Source organism: Homo sapiens, chromosome 9 (assembly GCF_000001405.40).
Source record: "Homo sapiens chromosome 9, GRCh38.p14 Primary Assembly".
NCBI classification, from domain to species: Eukaryota; Metazoa; Chordata; class Mammalia; order Primates; family Hominidae; genus Homo; species Homo sapiens.
This window is the reverse complement of record NC_000009.12, coordinates 63,799,952-63,821,308: the sequence shown is the minus strand read 5'-3', so window position 1 is coordinate 63,821,308 and position 21,357 is coordinate 63,799,952. Positions and strand designations below refer to the sequence as shown.

Genomic DNA, 21,357 nt, shown 5'->3' with positions numbered 1-21,357 from the left:
AGAAAGATCAGTGGTTGCCATGGACCAAGGGGAAGGAAGAGATGGATACACAGAGCACAGAGAATCTTCACGGCAGTAAAACCATTCTGTATGATACTATAATGGTAGATATATACATTTGTAAAAATCTATCTTAACTTTTAATCTTTTAAATTACATTTTTTTTTGATGGAGTCTTGCTCTGTCGCAAGGCAGGAGTGCAGTGGCACGATCTCGGCTTACTGCAACCTCCGCCTCCCGGGTTCAAGCGAGTCTCCTGCCTCGGCCTCCCGAGTAGCTGGAACTACAGGTGCCCGCCACTGTGCCTGGCTAATTTTTGTATTTTTAGTAGAGACTGCGTTCACCATCTTGGCCAGGCTGGTCTTGAACTCCTGACCTTGTGATTCACCCGCCTTGGCCTCCCAAAGTGCTGGGATTACAGGCGTCACACACCGCACCTGGCCGTTTTGTTTTAAGAACTGCAGACAAGCTGGGTGCAGTTGCTCAAGCCTGTAATGTCTGCATTTTGGGAGGCTGAAGTGGCTGGATTGCCTGAGCCCCAGAGTTCAAGACCAGGTGGGCAACATAGTGAGATCCCGTCTCTACAAAAAAAGTATTTAAAAAAAAATAGCTAGGCATAGTGCTGCATGCCTGTAGTCCAAGCTACTCAGGAGGCTGTGGTAGAAAAATCACTTGACCCAGCAGTTTGAGGCTGCAGTGAGCTATGATCATGCCACTGCACTCTGGCCTAGGCGACAGAGCGAAACCCCATCTCAAAACAAAGAACAACCAAAAACCTAGAAGCATACTCAGAGATATTGTGGGTTTGGTTCCAGACAACTGCAGTAAGGCAAATGTTACAAACAAAAACCTACAAGCACACCTCAGAGATAGTGTAAGTTTTGTTCCAGAACACTTCAATAAGGCAAATGTTACAATCAAGTTAGTTGCATAAACATTTTATTTCCCGGTGCTTATAAAAGTTATGCTTAAACTATATTGTAGTCTAATGAGTATTTAATAATTATTAGTTATTAATTAATAGCATGTCTAAAAAACTGTGTACATACCTTAAGTTAAAATACGTCAGAGCTAAAAAATGCTAATGAATATCTGAGACTTACCACGTCATAATCTTTTTGCTGGTGAGAGTCTTGCCTCTATATTGATGACTGCTGGCTAATCAGCGTGGGGGCTGCTGAAGGTTGGAAACCTGTGTCAATTTTTTAAAACAATGAAGTTTGTTCCTTTCACAAAAGATTTCCCTGTAGCATGTGATGCTGTTTGACAGCATTTTATCAACAGTAGAACTTCTTTCAAAATTGGAGTAAACCCTCTCAAACCCTGCTGCTGCTTTATCAACTAGGTTTATGGAATATTCTAAATCCTTTGTTGTCATTTCAACAATGTTGATAGCATCTCCACCTGGATTATATTCCATCTCAAGAAAATATTTTCTTTGCTCGTCCATAAGAAGCAACTCCCTATTTGTTCAAGTTTCATCATGAGTTTACAGCAATTTCATCTCACCTTAAGGCCCTAATTCTAATTCTAGTTGTCTTGTGATTTCTACCACATCTGCAGGGACTTCCTCCACTGACATCCTGAGCCCTCAAAGTCATCCATGAGGGCTGGAATCAACTTCTTCCAAACTCCTGTTAATGTTAATATTTCATCCTCCTCCCATCAATCACAAATGTCCTTAATGGCATTTAAGGATTGCTATTAAGGACATTTGTGATTCACGGGAGGAGGTTCAAATATCATGAAAGGATTAATGGTGAATCCTTTCCAAAAGGTTTTCAATTCAGTTTATCCAGATTCATCAAAGAAATCACTATCTATGACAGCTATACCTTTACAAAATGCAATTATTAATTAATAAAAACACTTGAAAGTCAAAACCACTCCTTGATCCACAGGCTGAAGGTAAATATTGTACTAGCAGCCATGAAAATAACATTAATTTCCAAGTACATCTCCATCTAAGCTTCTGGGGAGCTAGGTGAATTGTCAATAAGCAGCAATCTTTTTTTCTTTTTTCCTTTTCTTTCCTTTGATTTTTTCTTTTTCTTTCTTTTCTTTCTTTTCTTTTTCTTTTTTTTTTTTTTTTTTTTTTTTTTTTTTTTTTTTTTTGACGTAGTTTCACTCTTGTTGCCCAGGCTGGAGTACAGTGGTGCGGTCTCGGCTCACTGCAACCTCTGCCTCCAGGGTTCAAGCCATTCTTCTGCCTCAGCCTCCCGAGTAGCTGAAATTACAGGTACTACCACCATGCCTGGCTAATTTTTTTTGTATTTTTATTAGAGATGGGGTTTCATCATTTTGGCCAGGCTGGTCTTGAACTCCTGACCTCAGGTGATCCTCAGCCTCCCAAAGTGCAGGGATTACAAGTATGAGCCACTATGCCTGGCCAACCAACAATCTTTTTAAAAGAATCGTTTTTTTTTTTTTTCTGAGCAGTAGGTCTCAATAGTGGGATTAAAATATTCAGTAAACCATGCTATTAACAGATGTGCTGTCACCCAGACAGTGATGTTCCATTTCTAGAGCACAGAAAGAATAGATTTTGCATAATTCTTAAGGGCCCTGAGATTTTCAGAGTGGTCAATGAGCACTGGCTGTAACCTAAAGTCACCAGCTGCAGTGGTCCTCAAAGAGAGTCAGCCCATCCTTTGAAGTTCTGAAGCCAAGTGTTGACTTCTCTCTAGCTATGAAAATTCTACATCTTCACTAAGCTTAATCATTTCTAGCTCTGGACTTAAAGTGAGAGACTTGCAAGTCTTCCTTTCATTTGAGTTCTTTGAGGCCACTGTGGTTACTAATTAGCACCCCTGGTGGGTGTCACCCTCCTCCCTCCTCTATCGGGTTCACCTACACCGGGGCGTGGGGAACGTCGCTTCCTGCACCCCACATGCCCTGCGCTCCTGGGGCTCTCCCACAGGGGGCTTTCGTGAGCCAGGAAGCAAGGGTCATCCCCCTGCTCCAGCCCAGCCAGGCTGCACAGGCAGAAGGACTCTCCCAACCTGCCCGAGCATGCGGGGCTTTGTGTTCACTGTCCTGGCCCCTCCCTCCGAAACTGGGGCTCTCCCATCCTCAGACTCCCTGGTGGCCTCCGAACCCCAACAAATGACAGGAAGACCAGAACCCACAGCGCGACGGCCTGCTGGGCGCGTGCTCAGTGGGACAGCTTGGGGCCCCTCAAGCTGAGTCACAGGGGAAAGGTGTGCTTGCACCACCCACGTCCCACCGGAGTCCGTGGTGGGGCTGGAGCCCCAGGTCGCCAGGGCGGCATGGGAACCCGAAGACGGGGCACCTTCACCTCCCGAGCTCGTGACCCCGGAGGCCTCCGCGTCAAGCGCAGATGCCAGCCAACCGGGCACCTCCCAACCGCTCCAGGAGCCGGGGCTCTCGTCTGCACTCACCTCCAGCCTGTTAGATGAGCTCCTGTCAACCCCAGAGTTTCAGCAAAAGGCACAACCTTTCCTAGATCCGGCGCCACTGGGGGAGCTGAAGGACGTGGAAGAGCCCGCTTTGCTGGAACCACTCCTCAGACAGGAAGAACACAGGGCTCTGCTGGAGGAGCAGGTTGGGGCGGGTTTGGGGCAGGGTGGGGGCAGGGTGGGGGCAGGGCGGCGGCCTCTCTTTTGCAGTGAACCTCAGGCTTGGTATGGAGAGGCGTGTCTTCCCTTCCAGCTGACCTCCCTAGGATCCCTGAGTTCCAGGTCCAGCGAGAGACTCCACACAGAGTAGGGCTGTCAACAATGAAAAGAAAGCATTCCTGAGCATCCCGGGGATCCCAGGGCCGGTCCAGGTACAGGGAGGTGGGCTGTCTACTGCGCATGCGCGGGTTTCCAGGCAGCAGCCTAGTCTTCTAACTAGCCCAGGCGGAGCTCTCCTCCCTTTCCCCCCCGCGTTCTTCAATCGGGTTGGCGGAGACCTCAGTCCGCGAAACACTGGGCCGGGGCAGAATCCAGGCCAGTTCTCCTTTCTGTGGCTCAACTCCTCCGCCTCTTCGCTCACCATCACTTGCCAACCCGTGTCCCGCCAGCCTCCTCGCCAGCACCATAGAGCGCCTTACAACTAAATAAAGACCCGAGACCTCGCGCAAACCAGGGTGCTGCCCTTTCCAGGCAAGAGGGAAGGCAGGCAGAGATGAGGACAGGAACAGAGACAGAGTGAGATGGAAGGATGGAGCTAGGCAAGGATGGGTGGAAGGAGGGACCCCGGAAGGGAGAGAAAGAGGGAGGGAGGGAGAAAGGGAGGAAAAAGCCAGGGGAGGGAGGGTAGAACAGATGGAAGGATGGACGGAGAGACAAAAGGAGCAAGAAACAGAGAACAGAAGGCAGAGACAAAAAATGTCTTATGCCTCCAGAACCAACAGGACCCAGAACTCCGGGAATATGTTGGGTGCCCAGTACAGGCTGAGTGCTGGGCCCACAGCCCCGTTGGCCGGCGGGGCGCTCAGCGGCCCTCTGGATCACCAGCCTGGGTTACTTCATCCCGGAGCAATTCAGACCAATTCCGTTTCCGAAGGAATGAGCGAATTCCCCAGAGAGCAATGAGCCGAGACTCAGGTAGTTGTCTGTTTTTCATCCACATGGTTCACAGATGACATATCCCCACGTTGAGCCCTGCAACAGAGCTCGAGGCAGATAGTCCCATCCACACAGGAGTCACACCCAGGCCAACTGAAGCGTGATTCTGGATTCCACGTTTCTTTGCCCTCTGTAAAGGTGCCTGTTGCTCAAGTTTCTGCCCCCCGAAAGCGTGACCATGTTGACTGTTTGTTTCGCGAGCTCTGTGGGGCCCCAGAAACTTCCAGGAATGCGTGGAAGACCAGCATCGTGTCGGTGCTCTCCTTTCCAGTTTTCAAACAGGCTATATTGGAGACTCCACATTGTACAGGAAACAGGAATCCATTGTCAGGCCGTGATGCACGGGATGTTTCTTTTCTCTGTGGTTTCGCTCTCGTTGTCTACGTGAAAATGAACGAGATGAACACACCTGCGTGTGTGAGACTATCACGGCAACTGTGACACCCAGGCGTTGGCAATAGAGTTGGCAGCCTGATCCTGGGACAAAGGTACTGATGGACATCCAGACACACCCCACCACAGTCACTAGCAAACCGACTCCCAAACACACAGACACACACGGGCGCACACGCGGGAACACAAGCACACACACAGACACACAAAGACAGACAGCTTGAAGGAGAGCAAGGGACAGAGGGATGAGAGATAGAAACGGAAGGAGAGAAACAGCGATGGAGAGAGACACAGAGAGGAACCAGGGAGATTGAGAGAGAGAGAGAGAGAGCAAGGTGGAGAGGGAAGTAGGGAAAGGGAAAGGGTGAGGGAGCTTGAGAGGGAGAGCAACAGAGCCTTGGAGAGGGAGGCTCTATCTGGTAGACAGGGGCCCCTTTGGCCAGGGTAGGGTGGAGGGTGCCTGGGCTGGGCTGGAACAGGGGGGCAGGGCCTCCCACTCGGGAAAACCAACGGAGCCCTGAGACATGTTTTTACTTGGATTTGTTGGTTGCTTTGGGGGTGCTTTTCGTAGCGTCATTCCTTTGTTGGCTCCTCCCTGTCCTCTTGGTGCTGTGGGCCCTGAAAGTTGTAGAGTGCGCCCCTCACTGTGGCAGAAGCAGTGGCGCTGAACGTGCCCACGGGCCGCAGCTTGGGTCTCTCTCGTTTTCCAGGTGGTATGGCCGTAGACAATGGCAGTGGCGCCTGGCTGGCCCAAGAGCCCAGTCCAGCTACGCCTGCCTGATTCCAGGCGTCACCACCAACCCGGGAGCGCGAGGCTGGGATCAGGCACCCCGGAGCCGCTTGCCTGTGGCCCGGCTGCTCTCCCCCTCTACGCCCAAGCACCACCATCGCCACGCTGCGCTTTTCGCCGACCTCCCAGAGCGTCCCGATGTCGCCGGCGGCCAGACCATGCGCGAGACAGCCCAGGCGCCAGAGGCCTCCATCCCCTGCCAGGGCTCTGGACTCTCCAGGCGGCCACCCTCTCGCTGAGACTCCAGGCCTTCCCCAGGCTCTTGAGCTCCCGAGCTTCCAACACCTGGGGCCCGCTTAGGACGGGGTGTGCTCCGAGGCGTCAGGGCCCAGGGCCCGCGGTCCTGGGGTCCCCTCCGGTCCTCCGCCTTGCCGCGGAAAAATTATTTTGGATTCCTCGCCGCCCCTCCTGCAAGGCCCCCTCTTGCCCCACACACCCAGAGCCGCCAGGGCTGCCCAGGGGCGAACGGCCGGCCCAGCCCCACGGGCCCTTTTTCTCACAATGCTCACACCATCGTCGCTTGTTCTGACGGGGACCCGCCATGGCCAAAGGGGCAAGAAGGCTCTGCTTTGCCCCGCCCTGGCACTAGAGCCCCGGCAGCCTCATCCTGAGAAAGAGGGGCTGACGGACACCCAGACACACCCCACCACTACCACGAGCAAACCCACCCTGACACACACACGGATACACACGGGTGCACGCGGGCAGACACACACACACACACACCACACCCGGGCACACACACACGGACACACAAAGACAGACGCAGATAGCTTGAAGGGAGACCACCCCTCATATTGTCTTATGCCCAATTTCTGCCTCCAAAGAAAGAAGAAGTAAAATCTAAAAGGCAGAAATGAAATCCACAAGCAGACAGCCCCGCACCACACCCTGGGCCTGGTAGTTAAAGATCGACCCCTGACCTACTCGGTTATGTTATCTATAGATTACAGACATTGTATAGAAAAGCACTGTGAAAATCCCTGTCCTGTTTTATTCTGATCTAATTACCTGTGCATGCAGCCCCCAGTCACGTACCCTCTGCTTCCTCAATCCATCACGACCCTCTCACGCGGACCCCCTTAGAGTTGTAAGCCCTTAAGAGGGACAGGAATTGCTCACTAGGAGAGCTCAGTTTTTGGAGACGTGAGTCTGCTGATGCTCCCAGCTGAATAAAGCCCTTCCTTCTACAACTCGGTGTCTGAGGGGTTTTGTCTGCAGCTCCTCCTGCTACAGAAGGAAAGCAAAGGAGAGAGGGATGGAGAAATAGAACCAGAGGGAGAGAGAGAGACAGCGATAGAGAGAGAGAGAGAGATAGAAAAGGGGGGAGGAGAGAGAGAGGGGGGAAGAGAGAGCACCACAGTAGAGCACGAGGTGGAGGGGGAAGTAGAGAAAGGGAGAGGGTGAGGGAGTTGTGGAGCGACAGCGACAGAGCCTTGGAGAGGGAGGCTCTGCTCAGGTAGACAGGGCACCTTTCAGCAGGCCGGGGTGGGGTGCAGGGTTCTTGGGCCGGGCTAGAACAGGGGGTCAGGGCCCCCCAGCCAGGAAAACCAATGGAGCCCTGAGACGTGTTTTTTTTTCTTGGATTGGTTGGTTGCTTTGGGGGTGTGTTTCATAAGGTCCTTCGTTTGCTTCTTTCTGTCTCCTTGATGCGATGGGCCCCGAGATTTGTAGAGTGTGCTCCTGTGTCTGGCGGGAGCCGTGGCGCCGAGCCTGTCCACGGGGCGAGGCCTGGGTCTCTCTCCTGTCCTCCGGACTGGAGTTTACACGAAGTCGGTGGCATTGGGAAACAGGGTGCACAGGGACGGTTTTCCTCGTGGCTGGCGAAGAAAATGTCCTTCCTCTGGGGAAAGCAGCCCTCGGGTTCTGGAGCGGAGGTCTTGGCTGGGGTCTGTGGCACCCGCTGCCCCTGCTCGCCCCTTCCACCGGCTTGGACGGTTGCAGTGACGCTGAATGAATGAATACAATTGCCTGGGAGTCCGGGGAGCGTGAAGACACCCGGGACCTCAGGGAACCCGCGCCTGCACCCTCGGGGTTGGTCCCGTCCCGCCCGGGTTGGGTGGGGCTGCCGCGAGTCGGAAGAGGTGGGATGCTGCTGCCTGGCGGTGCTGCAGTGGCGGATCTTCAGGAGGAGGACCTGGGCTTCTGCTGGGGCGCGGGGGCGGTCAACCGGGAGCAGAGGCGGGGGGCAGTTGGGAAGCACGGAGACAAAAGGAGGAAAGAGGGAGGGAGCGGGAAGCCAAAAGCCTACGGTACCGCTATTACCAGGCGGAATCCCATCCAAGTACTAAACAGTCCCGACCCTGCTTAGCTTCAACAGATCAGAGGCGAGCCGGCGCGTTCAGGGTGGTGTGGCCTAGACGCCAGCAGCGGCACCTGGCTGCCCCAAGAGCCCGGCCCAGCCAAGCCCGCACGACTCCAGGCGTCACCGCCACCCCGGGGCCGCGGGTCTAGGATCCGGGACCCCCAGAGGTGCTCGCCCGTGCCCCCGGGCAGCTGTCTCCCTCTACACCCGAGGACCGCCGGCCTCCCAGAGAGTCCCGCCGTCACCGGTGGCTAGGCCTGGCTCAGGACCAATATGGCACCACCCTGCTGTTGCTGGGGGGCGCCGGAGGCCTCTGTCCCCTGCGCAGGCTTCCGGCTCTAGGGGCGGCCTCCTTTCCGCCCACGCTCCAGTCCTTCCGGGAGCTCCGGAGCTCCGGGGCTTCCACCACATCTGCCGGCTCAGGACGGGTCGTGTTCATCCCTTAACTTTTTAACTTTTTGTTGTTTCTATTTATATTTTATTGTGCTATGTCTTGAAATGTTGTTGTAGCTATTACTTTTGATTGGATATTATTTAGTATTCCTACTTTAAATAAGAGTAGTTTGCACACCACACAGCTATAGTGTTATAATATTCTGTTTTGTTTTGTATCCTATTAGCAGTGAGGATTTTTTTTTACCTTTAGGTGATCATTTATTACTCATTAATGTCCTTTTCTTCCTGACTGAAGTACTCCCTTTAGCATTCCTTTAGGACAGGTATGGTATTCATAAAATACTTCAGCTTTTGTTTGTCTGAAAAAGTCAGTATTTCTTCTTTTTTTTGAAGAACATTTTCACTGTACATTCTATTCTAAGGTAAAAGTTTCTTTCCTTTAGTACTTTAAATATTTATTGCTTCTCTGTCCTGGCCAGTAGAGTTTCCACTGTAAAGTCTGCTGCCAGACGTGTTGGAGCTCCCCAGTAGGTTATTTGTTTCTTTTCTCTTTCTTCCTTAAGAACTTTTATCTTTGACTTTTGGAAGACTATTGAATGCTTTGAAGTAGTCTTTTTTGGGTTAAATCTGCTTAATGTTCTATAACATTTTTGTAGTTGGATATGGCTGTCTTTCTCTAGGTTTGGAAAGTTCTCTGTTATTATCCCTTTGAATAAATTTTTCTACCCCTGCCTCTTTCTCTACATCTTCTTTAAAACCAATAACTCTTAGATCTGTCTTTGTGAGGCTATTTTCTAGATCCTCCCCTGCCTCTTTCTTTACATCTTCTTTAAAACAAATAACTCTTAGATCTGTCTTTGTGAGGCTATTTTCTAGATCCTGTCGGCATGATTTGTTGTTTTTATTCTTTTTCTTTTGTCTCTTCTATGTATTTTCAAAGAGCCTGTCTTCAAGCTCACTATTTCTTCTGCTTGATCCATTCTGCTATTACATGGCTCTAATGCATTCTTCAGCATGCCAATTGCATTTTTCAGCTCAGAATTTCTGCTTAATTTACTGTAACTATTTCAATCTATTTGTTGAGTTTAGCTGATAAAATTTGGAATTTCCTTACTTTGTTATCTTAAATTTCTTTCAGTTTTTTTTTAAATACAGCTATTTTGAATTCTCTGTCTGAAACATCACATATCTCTTTTTCTCCAGGATTTGTCCCCAGTGCCTTATTTAGTTCACTTGGTGAGGTCATGTTTTCCTGGATGGAGTTGATGCTAGTAGATGTTCTTCAGTGTCTGGACATTAAAATCTTGGGCATGCAACACCATATGAGAGGTTTAAAAAATAAAATTTAAAGAGAGAAAAGGTGAGTATTTATTGTAGTCTTCACTGTCTGGGATTATTTGTAGCTGTCTTTCTTGGGAAGGCTTTTCACATATTTGAAAAGAGTTGGGTGTTGTGATCTAAGCCATATCTGCTTTATGGAGCACCTTATACCCAATAATGCTGTAATTCTTCCAGACTCAGAGAAGTACCACCTTGACAGCCTTCAACAAGACCCAGGAGAATTTTCTGGATTACTAGCTACAGACTCTTTCCCTACCCTTATTTTCTCTCAAAGATACAGTCTTTCTCTCTGTTCTAAGCCACCTAAAGCTGGGAGAAGAAAGACACAAGCACCTCAGGCCACCACCACTATGACTGCCCTGGATCAGACCTGAAGCTAGCACAGCACGGGTCTTGCTCAAGTCCTGCTGCATGCACTTTCTGACGACTCCCTATGTTCACTCAAGGCCTTTGGTCTCTACAATTAGCAGGTGGCAAAGCCAGACAGGCCTGTGTTCTTTCCTTTAGGGCAGTGAGATCCCTCAGTCCCTGGCTGGGTCCAGAAGTGCTATTCAGAAGTCAGGGCTTTGGCCACTTTTTAATAGGGTTTTTTGTTTTTCTCTTGTAAATTTAAGTTCCTTATATTGAATATTAGATCTTTGTCAGATACATACTTTGTAAATATTTTTTCCTCATTCTATAGGTTGTCTGTTCACTCTATTGATGATTTCTTTTGCTGAGCAGAAGCTTTTAAGTTTAATGAGATCCCACTTGTCAATAGTTGTATTTGTTATTTTTGGTGTCTTTATCATGAAATCTTTGCCTCTTTCTATGTCCAGGATGGTATTGTCTAGGTTGTCTTCCAGAGCTTTTATAGTTTTGGGTTTTACATTTAAGTATTTAGTCCATCTTGAGTTGATTTTTGTATATGGTATAAGGAAGAAGTCCAACTTCAATCTTCTGCATATGGCTAGCCAGTTATCCCAGCACCATTTATTGAATAGGGAATCTTTTCCCCATTGATTGTTTTTGCCACCTTTGTCAAAGATTACATAGTTGTAGGTATGTGGTCTTACTTCTAACCTCTCTATTCTGTTCCACTGGTGTATGTGTCTGTTTTTGTGCTAGTACCATGCTGTTTTGGTTACTATGGTGCTGTAGGTTAGTTTGAAGTCGGGTAATGTGATGCCTCAAGCTTTGTTCTTTTTGCTTAGGATTGCCTTGGCTACTTAGGTTCTTTCTTGGTTCTATATGAATTTTTAAATAGCTTTTTTCTACTTCTGTGAAGCATGTCATTGGTAGTTTAATAGGAATAGCTTTGGACAGTACAACAATTTAAATGATATTAATTCTTTCTCTCCATTAACATGGAATGATTTTTCATTTATTTGTGTCTTCTCTGACTTCTTTGAGCAGTGTTTTGTAATTTTCATTGTAGAGATTTTTCACCTCCCTGGTTAGCTGTATTCCTATGTACTTTATTCTTTTCGTGGAAATTGTGAATAAAATTGCCTCTCTGATTTGGCTCTTAGCTTGGCTCTTCTTGGTGTATAGGGATGCTAGCAAATTTCGTACATTGATTTTGTGTCCTGAAACTTTGTGGAAGTTTTTTATCAGCTTAAGGAGTTTTGGGTCACAACTATAGGGTTTAGATACAGAATTATGTTGTCTGCAAACAGAGGTAGTTTGACTTCTCTTTCTATTTAAATACGCTTTATTTCTTTCTCTTGTCTGGTTGCTCCAGAAAGGACTTCTAATACTATGTTGAATAGGAGTGGTGAGAGAGGGCATCCCTGTCTTGTGCGGGTTTCAAGGAGGATGCTTCTAGATTTTGCCCATTTAGTATAATGTTGGCTGTGAGTTTGTCATAGGTGACCTTTATTATTTTGAGGTATGTTCCTTTGATACCTCATTTATTGAGAATTTTTAACATGAAGCTTTGTTGAATTTTACTGAAAGTCTTTTCTGCATCTGTTGAGACAATCATGTGGTTCTTATCTTTAGTTTTATTTATGTTATGAATCACATTTTATTGATTTGCCCATGATGGACCACCCTTCCATTCCAGGGAAGAAGCTTACTTCACTATGGTGAATTAGCCTTTTGATGTGTTGCTAGATTCAGTTTGCAAGTATTTTGTTGTGGATTATTGAATGGATGTTCATCAAGGATACTGGCCTGAAGTTTTCTTTTTTTGTTGTGTCACTGCCAGGCTTTGGTATCAGGATGATTCTGGCCTCATAGAACAAGTTGGGGAAGAGTCCCTCCTCCTCTATTTCTTGAAATAGTTTCAGTAGGACTGGTACTGGCTCTTCTTTGTACATCTGTTAAAATTTGTTAATCTATCAGGTCCTGGGCTTTTTGGGGGGTTGGTAGGCTATTTATTACGGATTCAATTTTTGGAGCTTATAATTGGTCTGCTCAGAGACTGAATTTCTTCCTGGTTCAGTCTCGAGAGAGTATATGTGTCCAGGAATTTATTAATCTCTTCTAGGGTTTCTAGTTTGTGTGTATAGAGGTGATCGTAGTAGTTACTGGTTGTTATTTTTATTTCTCTGGGGTCAGTGGTAACATTCCCTTCATCATTTCTAATTTTCTTTATTTGAATCTTCTTTCATCTTCTTTATTAATCTAGCTAGTGCCCTATCTTAGTAATTTTTTCAAAAAACCTTGATTAAGTGATCTTTTGAACAGTTTTTCATGTCTCAATTTCTTTCAATTCAGCTCTGATTTTAGTTATTTCTTGTCTTCTATAAGCTTTGTGGTTGAGTTCTCCTTGCTTCTCTAATTCTTTCAGTTGTGATGTTAGGTTGTTAATTTGAGATATTTCTAATTTTTTGATATGGGCATTACTTCTTATGCCCTACTCTAAATTTTGGTCTTCTAGAAAACTCAGAACTATGCTTTCTAAACCAATTCAAACTTTCTCAGTGAATCAACCTGGACTCCCTGAGGCCAAGTTAGCAATTTTCCATTACACGTGGTTCTCTTTCTCTGTAAGAATATCTAATGCAACAATGCAAGTGTTTCTTTCCCTCCTGGTAATGCGGGGAACTCCTTTTGGCTGAGACCAAGACTTAAAACCTTGTTCTTTCAACATTAATGAAGATCTATTTAGAAAGCCTCCATTTTTGCAGAAAAGATATATAAACACCAATGAAAATCAATATGAAATTATATGACATACAATTATATTGTGGAAAGACTGAATAAATAAGTGAACTAAGCTCTAAGAAAAAAAGATGATGATATAAAATGATATAGAAGTAAAAACCTGGGCTGGTATAGCATAATTAATGTATCAGTAAAGTATGTACATTGTAGAAGTGGTAGAAAGACAGCATAGAGAGTGAGACCTGACCAAAAGCTTTAAGGAAAGTTCTATACCCTTAAATGAGATTAAAGTGGACTCAGGAAAACATGGGCCACATGAGGGGAAGGACACATGTTCCAGACGAGCCAAAGCTCAGAGCATCTCTACCTTCTCCAGGAGGAAAGAGGAGGCAAAGCAGCAGGCAGAAGACAGCATGGCCAGGTCAGCACAGGGCACCCAGGCCAAGCCAGGTGGGCTCCATCGTACAGGTAGTGAGGAGACACTGCCAGGTGGGCTTTATTCATTAGTTTGTTTTGTTTCCTTTAGTAACGAAGACACATGATCAAAGTTGACCTTTGTAAGTGTTGCTGCAGCTGAACAAAAAGATGGATAAAACCAGTGTTTTAAAAATTATGTTGTATAGAGCACTAGCCTCAGTGAGGTATTAGTAGAACACACAGGCACACACATGCACACACACTCACACTAAGCCCAGATTATTCTGGCAAATGCTGGGTTAAGCAAACTAAAAGAAACATCTTTACTGCTGGACTTCTCAGAACCTGGAATGTGGCTATATGACTCATAAAACAGCAAGGTTAAGACAGAGCATGTCATTTTTTCCCAGAAATGCTGAAACGCTTTCATTCCCTTGGCTTCAGTGTCACCTTCTTTCTCCTGGTTCTCCATCAACCTCTTTGGCTGCTCCTTCTTGATTTCCTTTTTGACAATCTGCTGCTGCTCAGCCATTCTCTTTTCATTCCCCATGGATTTCTCAAGTGCGTTTCTATTCCTGCATTTTAAACTTTCCTTGCTTTTCCTGACACCTCTCCTTGTCTGACCCACCCTTGTTCTAAGGCAGGTGTTCCATCTGTGTGCACTTTTGGCATCCTGGGATGCTCTCAGCATGTTCCCTGCCACACTCCATCAGGTTTTCTCCGCAGACTCTGTGAGGGCAGCAGCCCTGTCTCCACCATTCCTTCAATGCTCAGCACATAACACAGAAGCTGACTCCATAACATTTAGTTGGCCAACCGAGACTAAATATATGTTCCTCTAGATCTTAAAAAGTTACAGAAACACAGCACAATAGACAAAATATTCTCTTTAGTCAGGAGTTCTCTATATATGTACAACAGTTTGAAGTCATTATTAAAGCAAAGTGAAAGAGAAACTGTCACAGAATTCCCTAAGATAAATTATTTTGCTTTAGTCTTCATCATGTGAGATAATCAAGACCATGTGTTATTGTAAATATTTCTAGCTTACAACACAATGACCTGATTTTTATTGTTTGAAATAACCGCAATATAAATCAGTTAATTAAAAATTGCATAAATAATCCTTTCAAATAAAATTCTGCCTAAATTTTACATTACTCATATGTTCAAATGATAATGAGCTCATAGGCTTTTCCAATACCTCAGTCAAAACATTGTACTGATTCCAGCTGTGGGAATAGTATCTGAAAGTTATTTTACAGATGGGGAACAGGTACTTACGTGACATTGGCCTTTGCACTACTGTGCGCTTTTAGGTCAGGAAAAAGCTGTTCCCTTAAAATCCTAAAATCTCTTCTGTCAGGTCTGAAGGGTGGGTGGGAAACACAGTTTTACAAATTTTAGCCACAGATATTTTATTCCTTGCTTAAAGCAGTGACTAGATAAAGGCCACTAGAAGAGTCTCCAATGTTTCTTTAGAAGCGTGTGCCTGAGAACATCTTCCAGAAACACTCCCTTGTCTCTGCCCAAAATCACCTTAGGTAGGAAAATAGAAACTCAGCAGGCTGAGGAGATCCAAGGGGATCACTGAGCTCTGAGTCTTATGAGAGAAGAGAGAGAGGTCTAAGACTTTTTGTGTATAAATTTATGGGTTCCAAGTGTAATTTTGCTGTAAGTATGGATGGCATAGTGGTGAAGTCAGGGCTTTTAAGTATCCATCACCAGAATAATGCACATTGTACCCAGTAAGTAATTTCTCACTGTTCACCCCTTCCATCCCCTCACCCTGCTGAGTCTCCATTATCATTCCACTCTCTATGTCAATATCTACACATCTTTTAGCACCCGCTTATGAGTGATAAAATACGATGTTTACTCTGTGTCTGGCTTGCTTCACTTACAACAATGGCCTCCAGTTCCATCCATGTGTCTGCAAAAGTTATGATTCTATTGTTTTTTATGCCTGAATAGTATTTCATTGTGTATATTTTCTACATTTTCTTTCTCCAATCATTTGTTGATGGGCATTTAGTTTGATTTTATGTCTGTGCTACTGTGAATAGTGTTGCAACAAATACACAAGTACAGTTATCTTTCTGATACATTGATTTCTTTTCCTTTGCATAAATACTCAGTGGTGGGATTGCTGAATCAGACAGAGCCAATAGATGATCAGTAATGGTGGCCAATCATCAGCTAGAAAGAAAGTGCTTAGCAGGGCTTGAAAACACCAAAACTCTGAGACCACTGACCTTCAAAAACTTCAACAGCCCTGAGTGAAAAGCCCAAACACATTTATCTACCATTCAAAGACGCTTCATTGTCTGTTCTCTGTGCATCTCAGTAGTCTCTTTTTACCACACTGTCTATATACTGCATGAGCCATTTATATGAAACTATCTGACACTCCAAGGCATCTTATACTATATATTCAACCATGTATCCCTAGTACCTAGCACAGTCCTGGCATATAGTTTGCTACTAAACTTTTACAGAATGAAGGAATTATCTTGTATCCAGGTTCCAAGTTTTAAGGTGATTCTTCACTAAAAAAAGTATTACAGTTCACAAATAATCTACTTCCCTTTTTACAAATGGGATCAATTTTAATCTTATCTCCTAATAACATTACTTTCATTTACTCTGATCTAAATATACTGTCCTAAGAGAGCAATAAGAAAGAGAGTTGAAGCTGGAGTTTGAAGAATTGTACATGGTCCTGTGATACCCTACCTTGTTTTAACCTGAGTGACTCTCTCCTAGCAGAGAGAGAGCCGGACAGACTCCATTTTAGTTTCTTCACGTGCATCCCCCTTTACCTCCCACCCTTAATTGCATAACTAGTGTAAACTAACTCAAAGCAGGTCCAGGAATGCACTTACTGATAAGATATTGAGGCAAGCTGCACCAGCTGCTCCTGGGTACGCACTCGGTGAATGTCACGCAAAACCCCTGCATTTCTCTCTTTGTGATGGTTTAAGCCCCTGCACCTGGAACTGTTTATTTGTTTTGTAACTGTTATTGTAACCAATTAATTTTTTAACTATTTGCCAGCTCTGCTTCTGTAAAACTTGTTTCAGCTAAACTCCCCCCTCCCCTATTTAGACCACGGCATAAAAACAAAACCAGCCCCTTCCTCGGGGCCAAGAGAATTTTGAGCATTACATGCCTCTTGGTTGCTGGCTAATAAAGGACTCCTTAATTTGTCTCAAAGTGTGGCGTTCCTCTATAACTCGCTTGGTTACAACAGTCCACACTGTGGCCTGAGGTGCATCGCCCACCTGAGCTTCATCTGTTATGTATGTCAGGGAATATAAGCAGGGTGAGAGTGGCCTCATCAGAGGACCCCAGATCTCTGGCTTACCCATCTGGCAAGCGCACCTCTGTGAGCAAAGACTTCAGAGCCAGATGACAAGAACGGCCCAAGCAGTCCACCAGGGAAACCTGGGCCCAGTGTACATCAATGCAGAGCATCAAGCATGGCGTAACAGGTGCACAGTTGCCTACTCCTGTTCAGAGATGACTGCATCCCACATACCGTAAAATGAGGAAATGCAGAGAAGCAGAAGTAACTGAAGAAGACAGCAGAAGCAACAAGGAGGGACAACCAGGACCTAGGAGGGCACCATGCCAGAGACGCCTGGACCCCACGCTAGGCTCAGTGCCTGTTATACTCTTGGGATCCAGCACTTTCCCTCTCCATCACATGGCATACTTGCCATTATTTGTTGTGTAAAATATTGTCCTTAGTTTTCACCTTTCCTAGGAGACACAGGCAGAGCCTGTGACACTACAGCTTCTGGCACACAGTAGGTAGGTGCATCACAAACATCTGCTGAGTTCACACACTCTTGCCTTCTCAAACCTTCCTGTCAAGTCTTCAGTGAAAAGGAATTGCTGATTGAGCAAGAATTAAACTTCTAGAGACTCCTGGATCCACTGAAGTTTGAGACAAGGTGAGATTTGTTTACTGTCATATTCCTAGCTCATAACATATTGTAGTCACTTAAAAAAGTTTGCTGAATAAGTGAGTAAATTGATTCATACGTCATACTTAGCTATATATTTTCTGAGTAGAATTGATAAAGTTAATAGTTTAAGTCTAGTATAATTTTGCTTTACTCATTCAACGAACCTGACAATTCAACTAGGTGCCAGGCACACTGCTGCTGAAGAAAAAGAGGTATAAGATATAATTTCTGTCTACAAGAAAGCCACAGTCTAAAAAGTAGAAACATGAACAAATTGTAACAATAAATAGGCTAAATTCAAAATCAGAGGAGTTTGTTTCTATTTTAAACAGCTCTAGTCAGGAAGTGTTAGAGAGTTCTAAACAGGAAATGTTCCAACACACCATCTAAGCATGAAGCAGGAGACACCCATAATTGAGTTTGCTGCCACCAACCCCAACAGCAAGAATTCCAGTCCTGCTGCTGCAAAGTAAGTGTCACTCTGATTTTATTGCTGCTGTGTAACCCAGTTTTAGACTCTCTGGTTCTCACTTAATGTTCTAAAAAAGTATTAAAGAGAAAATTTTATTCTGGTGATGAGCCCATCCACTGCAGCCATCTCAACATCATACCAATTATAAGCCTATCATTTAAAAAGAAAGCTGTTAGTTTAACTTATTTATCCAAATATCAGTATTACATAAACATATTTGTCATCAGACTTTGGACTTATGGGTTAAATAGCATATAAATATGATTAGAGCCTTAAAGTTTACACTTCTCTGGTTCGCTCAAATTTTTTTCAAAATAGCATATGCCTTTCTAAACAATGGTTAGTATATTTTTCAAAATGAACATTAAAATGTATATTTTCCAAAAACAAAATACAGCTCCCATTGGTAAATGATGCTATTGAGACACAACAGACAACTTCTCTTGGGAACCATTTAATCAGTGCTCACTTTTGCACTCTTTCCAGAAATGTCAATGGCTTTGAAATATAGAAGTATATTATACAAATAAACTTATACTTATTCAGTATTGTGCAATATTTAGTATTTCTTCTAGCCATCTCTTGCTGAATAGTAAGCCATTCCAAAACTTACGGAATTATTTATTGTTTAATATTGTTTATTGTTATTATTTGTTTAGTAATTTTAATAACGTTATTTCTCATGGTTTTGTGGGTTGATGGGCACTACAAAAGTTCTCTTTTGGAGTCTTTCTTGCAGTTGCGGTTGCTTGGCTGCTGCTGAAGTCACCTGAAAGCTCAATTAGGCTAAAGAGTCTAGACGGGTCACTTACATGGTTGGCAGTGCATATTGGCTGCTGAGTGTGATGCCTATCTGACCTCTCCATGTTACCTGGAGTGCTCATAACGTGGTAGTTTGTCCCAAGACACACAGGCAAATACTATAAAGCTTCTTAGGACCTAGCCTTGGAGGTCCTAGAACAAGACTTCTGCTCCATCCTTTTGGAAAAGCAAGTCATTGTGACCAGCACAGATTCAAGAAATGGGAGATTCGACTCTGCCTGTCAATGTAAACAGCAGCATGTGCATGCAGGGAGGAAAGAAATCGAGGGCATCATCTAGAAGACTATCATATCACACCATTATTCCAACTAATGAACATTATGTTTTAGATGGGTAGTACTAGCTACTCATCTCTCCCCCAGAAACCCAAGCTAAGCATGGACATATTGAAGAGAATGTCAGCACCATTAAAAAAAAACTCTAGAAAAATCACATGTGATGACTGAGGTTAATTCAGTCTGTCAATTACATCAATATAATTGCCTTCTTGTAGCCCTAAGTATGGTGAAGCAGAATTGAATTCTACAAAAGTCTTTCATCTGTTTTCCTATGGAATAATTAACAAACCCAATAAATGTATAAATAGCATGAAGTCCGACTTATTTTAGATTTTTACCTCATAATTTCAAAGCTTATAGAAATCCAGAGAACTAATCATCATAATCCATAATGCCTGGACCAGAAGTCCTTGTTCTAAGAGTATCTTGTGGCATGCTAAAAATGTATTACTAACTAGGAAATTTAAAACTTTTTTGTTAGTGGTTTTAAGAGAGCTGACTAGCTCATCACCACAATTCACACAGATTAAGAAAGGAGGTTACTCTGTGGAGTGGATTCATAGTGATCAGAAAAAAAAAAAATCACAAAAGAGGAAAGGAGATAGGGAAGGGGAAAGATACTGTCAATCCCTAAGTGATTTTTCGAATGGTTTGATTTTGTATTTGCAAAGGAAAGGCAGCTTAATGTGATAGAATAAGAATCCCACTTCTGTATCTTTTTTTTTTTTTTTTTTTTTTTTGAGACGGAGTCTCGCTCTGTCGCCCAGGCTGGAGTGCAGTGGTGCAATCTTGGCTCACTGCAAGCTCTGCCTCCTGGGTTCACGCCATTCTCCTGCCTCAGCCTCCCGAGTAGCTGGGACTACAGGCGCCCACCACCACGCCCGGCTAATTTTTTGTATTTTTTGTAGAGACAGGGTTTCACCGTGTTAGCCAGGATGGTCTCGATCTCCTGACCCTGTGATCCCCCCACCCCGGCCTCCCAAAGTGCTGGGATTACAGGCGTGAGCCACTGTGCCTGGCTCGTCTTCTTTTGAGAAGTGTCTGCTTATGTCCCTTGTCAATGTTTTAATGGGGTTGTTTTCCTAATGTCCAACATCACTAATCATCAGAGAAATGCAAGTCAATGTGAGATACCATCTCATATTTGTCAGAATGGCTACTATTAAAAAGTAAAAAAATGACAAATTCTGGTTAGACTTCAGAGAAAATGAAATGCTTATACACTGTTGGTGAGAATGTAAATTAGTTCAGCCACTGTGAAAAGCAGTTTGGAGATTTTTCAAAGAATTTAAAACAGAAGTGCCATTCAACCAGCAATTCCATTACTGAGTATATATCCAAAAGAAAATTAAGAATTCTACAAAAAGAAACCCCACATGCACTTGTATATGCGTCATATTGCTATTCACAATAGGGAAGGCATGGAATTAACTTATGTGTAAATCAATAAATTGGATAGAAATATGTGCCACATATACACCATAAAACACTATGCACACGTTAAAAAGAATACAATTATGTCCTGTGCAGTAACATGCATACGTCTGGAGGCCATTATCATAAGGAAATTAATACAGGAACAGAAAACCAAATACCATATATTCTTGCCTATAAGTAGGATCTAAACATGGGGTACTCATGAATATAAAGATGACAACAATAGACACTGAGAACTACCAGATGAATGAGGGAAGGAGGAGGGCAGGGGGTGAAAAACCATAGGTGCTATGCTTACTGCCTAGGTGATGGGATCAATTATATCCCACAATATATGCTCACTACCTTGGTGATGGGATCAATAATATCCCACATTGCTCAGCATCACACAATATATCCATGTAATAAACCTGCAAATATACTCCCTGAATCTAAAAAATTTAAGGCAGAGACAGAGTAAGAGGGCAGAATAGAAGCCTACATTCTCATCACCACACAAAAACACCAAATTTTCACAACTAACTACATTCAAGAAGCACTGTCAAAGGGACCAAAAATTGGGTGAGCAATCACAGTACCTGGTATTAACTTCATATCACCGAAACAGACATTGGAGAAGACAAAAAAATAAAAGGCGGTCTAGAAGCATGGATGCCACCTCTTTTTCAACCACCAGTAGTGGCTACATCGTGCAGAGATAGTATGTTTGGGAGAGGGAGTGCATAGTTTGTGAGGCTTTGCAATAAACTCAGCACTACCCTGTCACAGTGAAAAGCAGAACCAGACTGTACACAGCTGACATCTGCCAATGGAGGGAGCATGTGTATTGGCCCTAGAAAGAGGAAAACCTCCCATCCTAGTGTTGGGAGCTTGAGTTTTTACAAGTCTTGCCATCATGAGTTGACGTGCTATTGGACTCTAAGGAACTTAAGGGGCAGTCTAGGCCACAAGGACTTCAATTATTAGGCAAGTCATATTCCGAGCTGGGCTCAGAGCCAGTGGAATGTGGAGGGTGGGGAGTATGGGGTCTACAGAGACAGCAGCCACAGCAGCTAAGGGAGTGCT

At 44.6% G+C, this 21,357-nt stretch overlaps 1 long non-coding RNA gene, 1 other non-coding gene and 2 pseudogenes across 3 annotated transcripts, besides 6 other annotated features; 1 reads left to right on the top strand and 3 right to left on the bottom strand.

Moving 5' to 3' along the window:
• Positions 1-1,654: 1,654 nt before the first annotated feature.
• On the bottom strand, positions 1,655-1,735 carry MIR4477B (microRNA 4477b). Its single transcript, NR_039689.1, has one exon. It is a non-coding gene; the product is annotated as a microRNA 4477b (primary transcript).
• A 544-nt stretch (positions 1,736-2,279) lies between these two features.
• LINC00537 (long intergenic non-protein coding RNA 537) lies at positions 2,280-8,368 on the bottom strand. 2 transcript variants are annotated; one of them, NR_146625.1, is made up of 2 exons: positions 6,769-8,368; positions 2,280-4,954 (listed from the first exon to the last, which is right to left on the bottom strand). It is a non-coding gene; the product is annotated as a long intergenic non-protein coding RNA 537 (long non-coding RNA). The 2 variants fall into 2 exon arrangements; NR_146626.1 differs by having other exon boundaries at positions 2,280-3,731; positions 8,193-8,368.
• Positions 2,602-3,138: an enhancer, noted in NCBI's record as "H3K27ac-H3K4me1 hESC enhancer chr9:68413905-68414441 (GRCh37/hg19 assembly coordinates)". NCBI's record gives its function as "activates a minimal SCP1, AML or CMV promoter by ChIP-STARR-seq in naive and primed H9 embryonic stem cells {active_cell/tissue: H9 hESC(naive and primed)}" and the evidence as "EXISTENCE:reporter gene assay evidence [ECO:0000049][PMID:30033119]".
• Positions 2,808-3,800, top strand: DUX4L50 (double homeobox 4 like 50 (pseudogene); annotated as a pseudogene).
• Positions 3,139-3,677: an enhancer, noted in NCBI's record as "H3K27ac-H3K4me1 hESC enhancer chr9:68413366-68413904 (GRCh37/hg19 assembly coordinates)". NCBI's record gives its function as "activates a minimal SCP1, AML or CMV promoter by ChIP-STARR-seq in naive H9 embryonic stem cells {active_cell/tissue: H9 hESC(naive)}" and the evidence as "EXISTENCE:reporter gene assay evidence [ECO:0000049][PMID:30033119]".
• Positions 5,262-5,790: an enhancer, noted in NCBI's record as "H3K27ac-H3K4me1 hESC enhancer chr9:68411253-68411781 (GRCh37/hg19 assembly coordinates)". NCBI's record gives its function as "activates a minimal SCP1, AML or CMV promoter by ChIP-STARR-seq in naive H9 embryonic stem cells {active_cell/tissue: H9 hESC(naive)}" and the evidence as "EXISTENCE:reporter gene assay evidence [ECO:0000049][PMID:30033119]".
• Positions 5,791-6,319: an enhancer, noted in NCBI's record as "H3K27ac-H3K4me1 hESC enhancer chr9:68410724-68411252 (GRCh37/hg19 assembly coordinates)". NCBI's record gives its function as "activates a minimal SCP1, AML or CMV promoter by ChIP-STARR-seq in naive H9 embryonic stem cells {active_cell/tissue: H9 hESC(naive)}" and the evidence as "EXISTENCE:reporter gene assay evidence [ECO:0000049][PMID:30033119]".
• RNA5SP284 (RNA, 5S ribosomal pseudogene 284) lies at positions 8,002-8,119 on the bottom strand (annotated as a pseudogene).
• Positions 11,657-12,158: an enhancer, noted in NCBI's record as "OCT4 hESC enhancer chr9:68404885-68405386 (GRCh37/hg19 assembly coordinates)". NCBI's record gives its function as "activates a minimal SCP1, AML or CMV promoter by ChIP-STARR-seq in primed H9 embryonic stem cells {active_cell/tissue: H9 hESC(primed)}" and the evidence as "EXISTENCE:reporter gene assay evidence [ECO:0000049][PMID:30033119]".
• Positions 15,139-15,640: an enhancer, noted in NCBI's record as "NANOG hESC enhancer chr9:68401403-68401904 (GRCh37/hg19 assembly coordinates)". NCBI's record gives its function as "activates a minimal SCP1, AML or CMV promoter by ChIP-STARR-seq in primed H9 embryonic stem cells {active_cell/tissue: H9 hESC(primed)}" and the evidence as "EXISTENCE:reporter gene assay evidence [ECO:0000049][PMID:30033119]".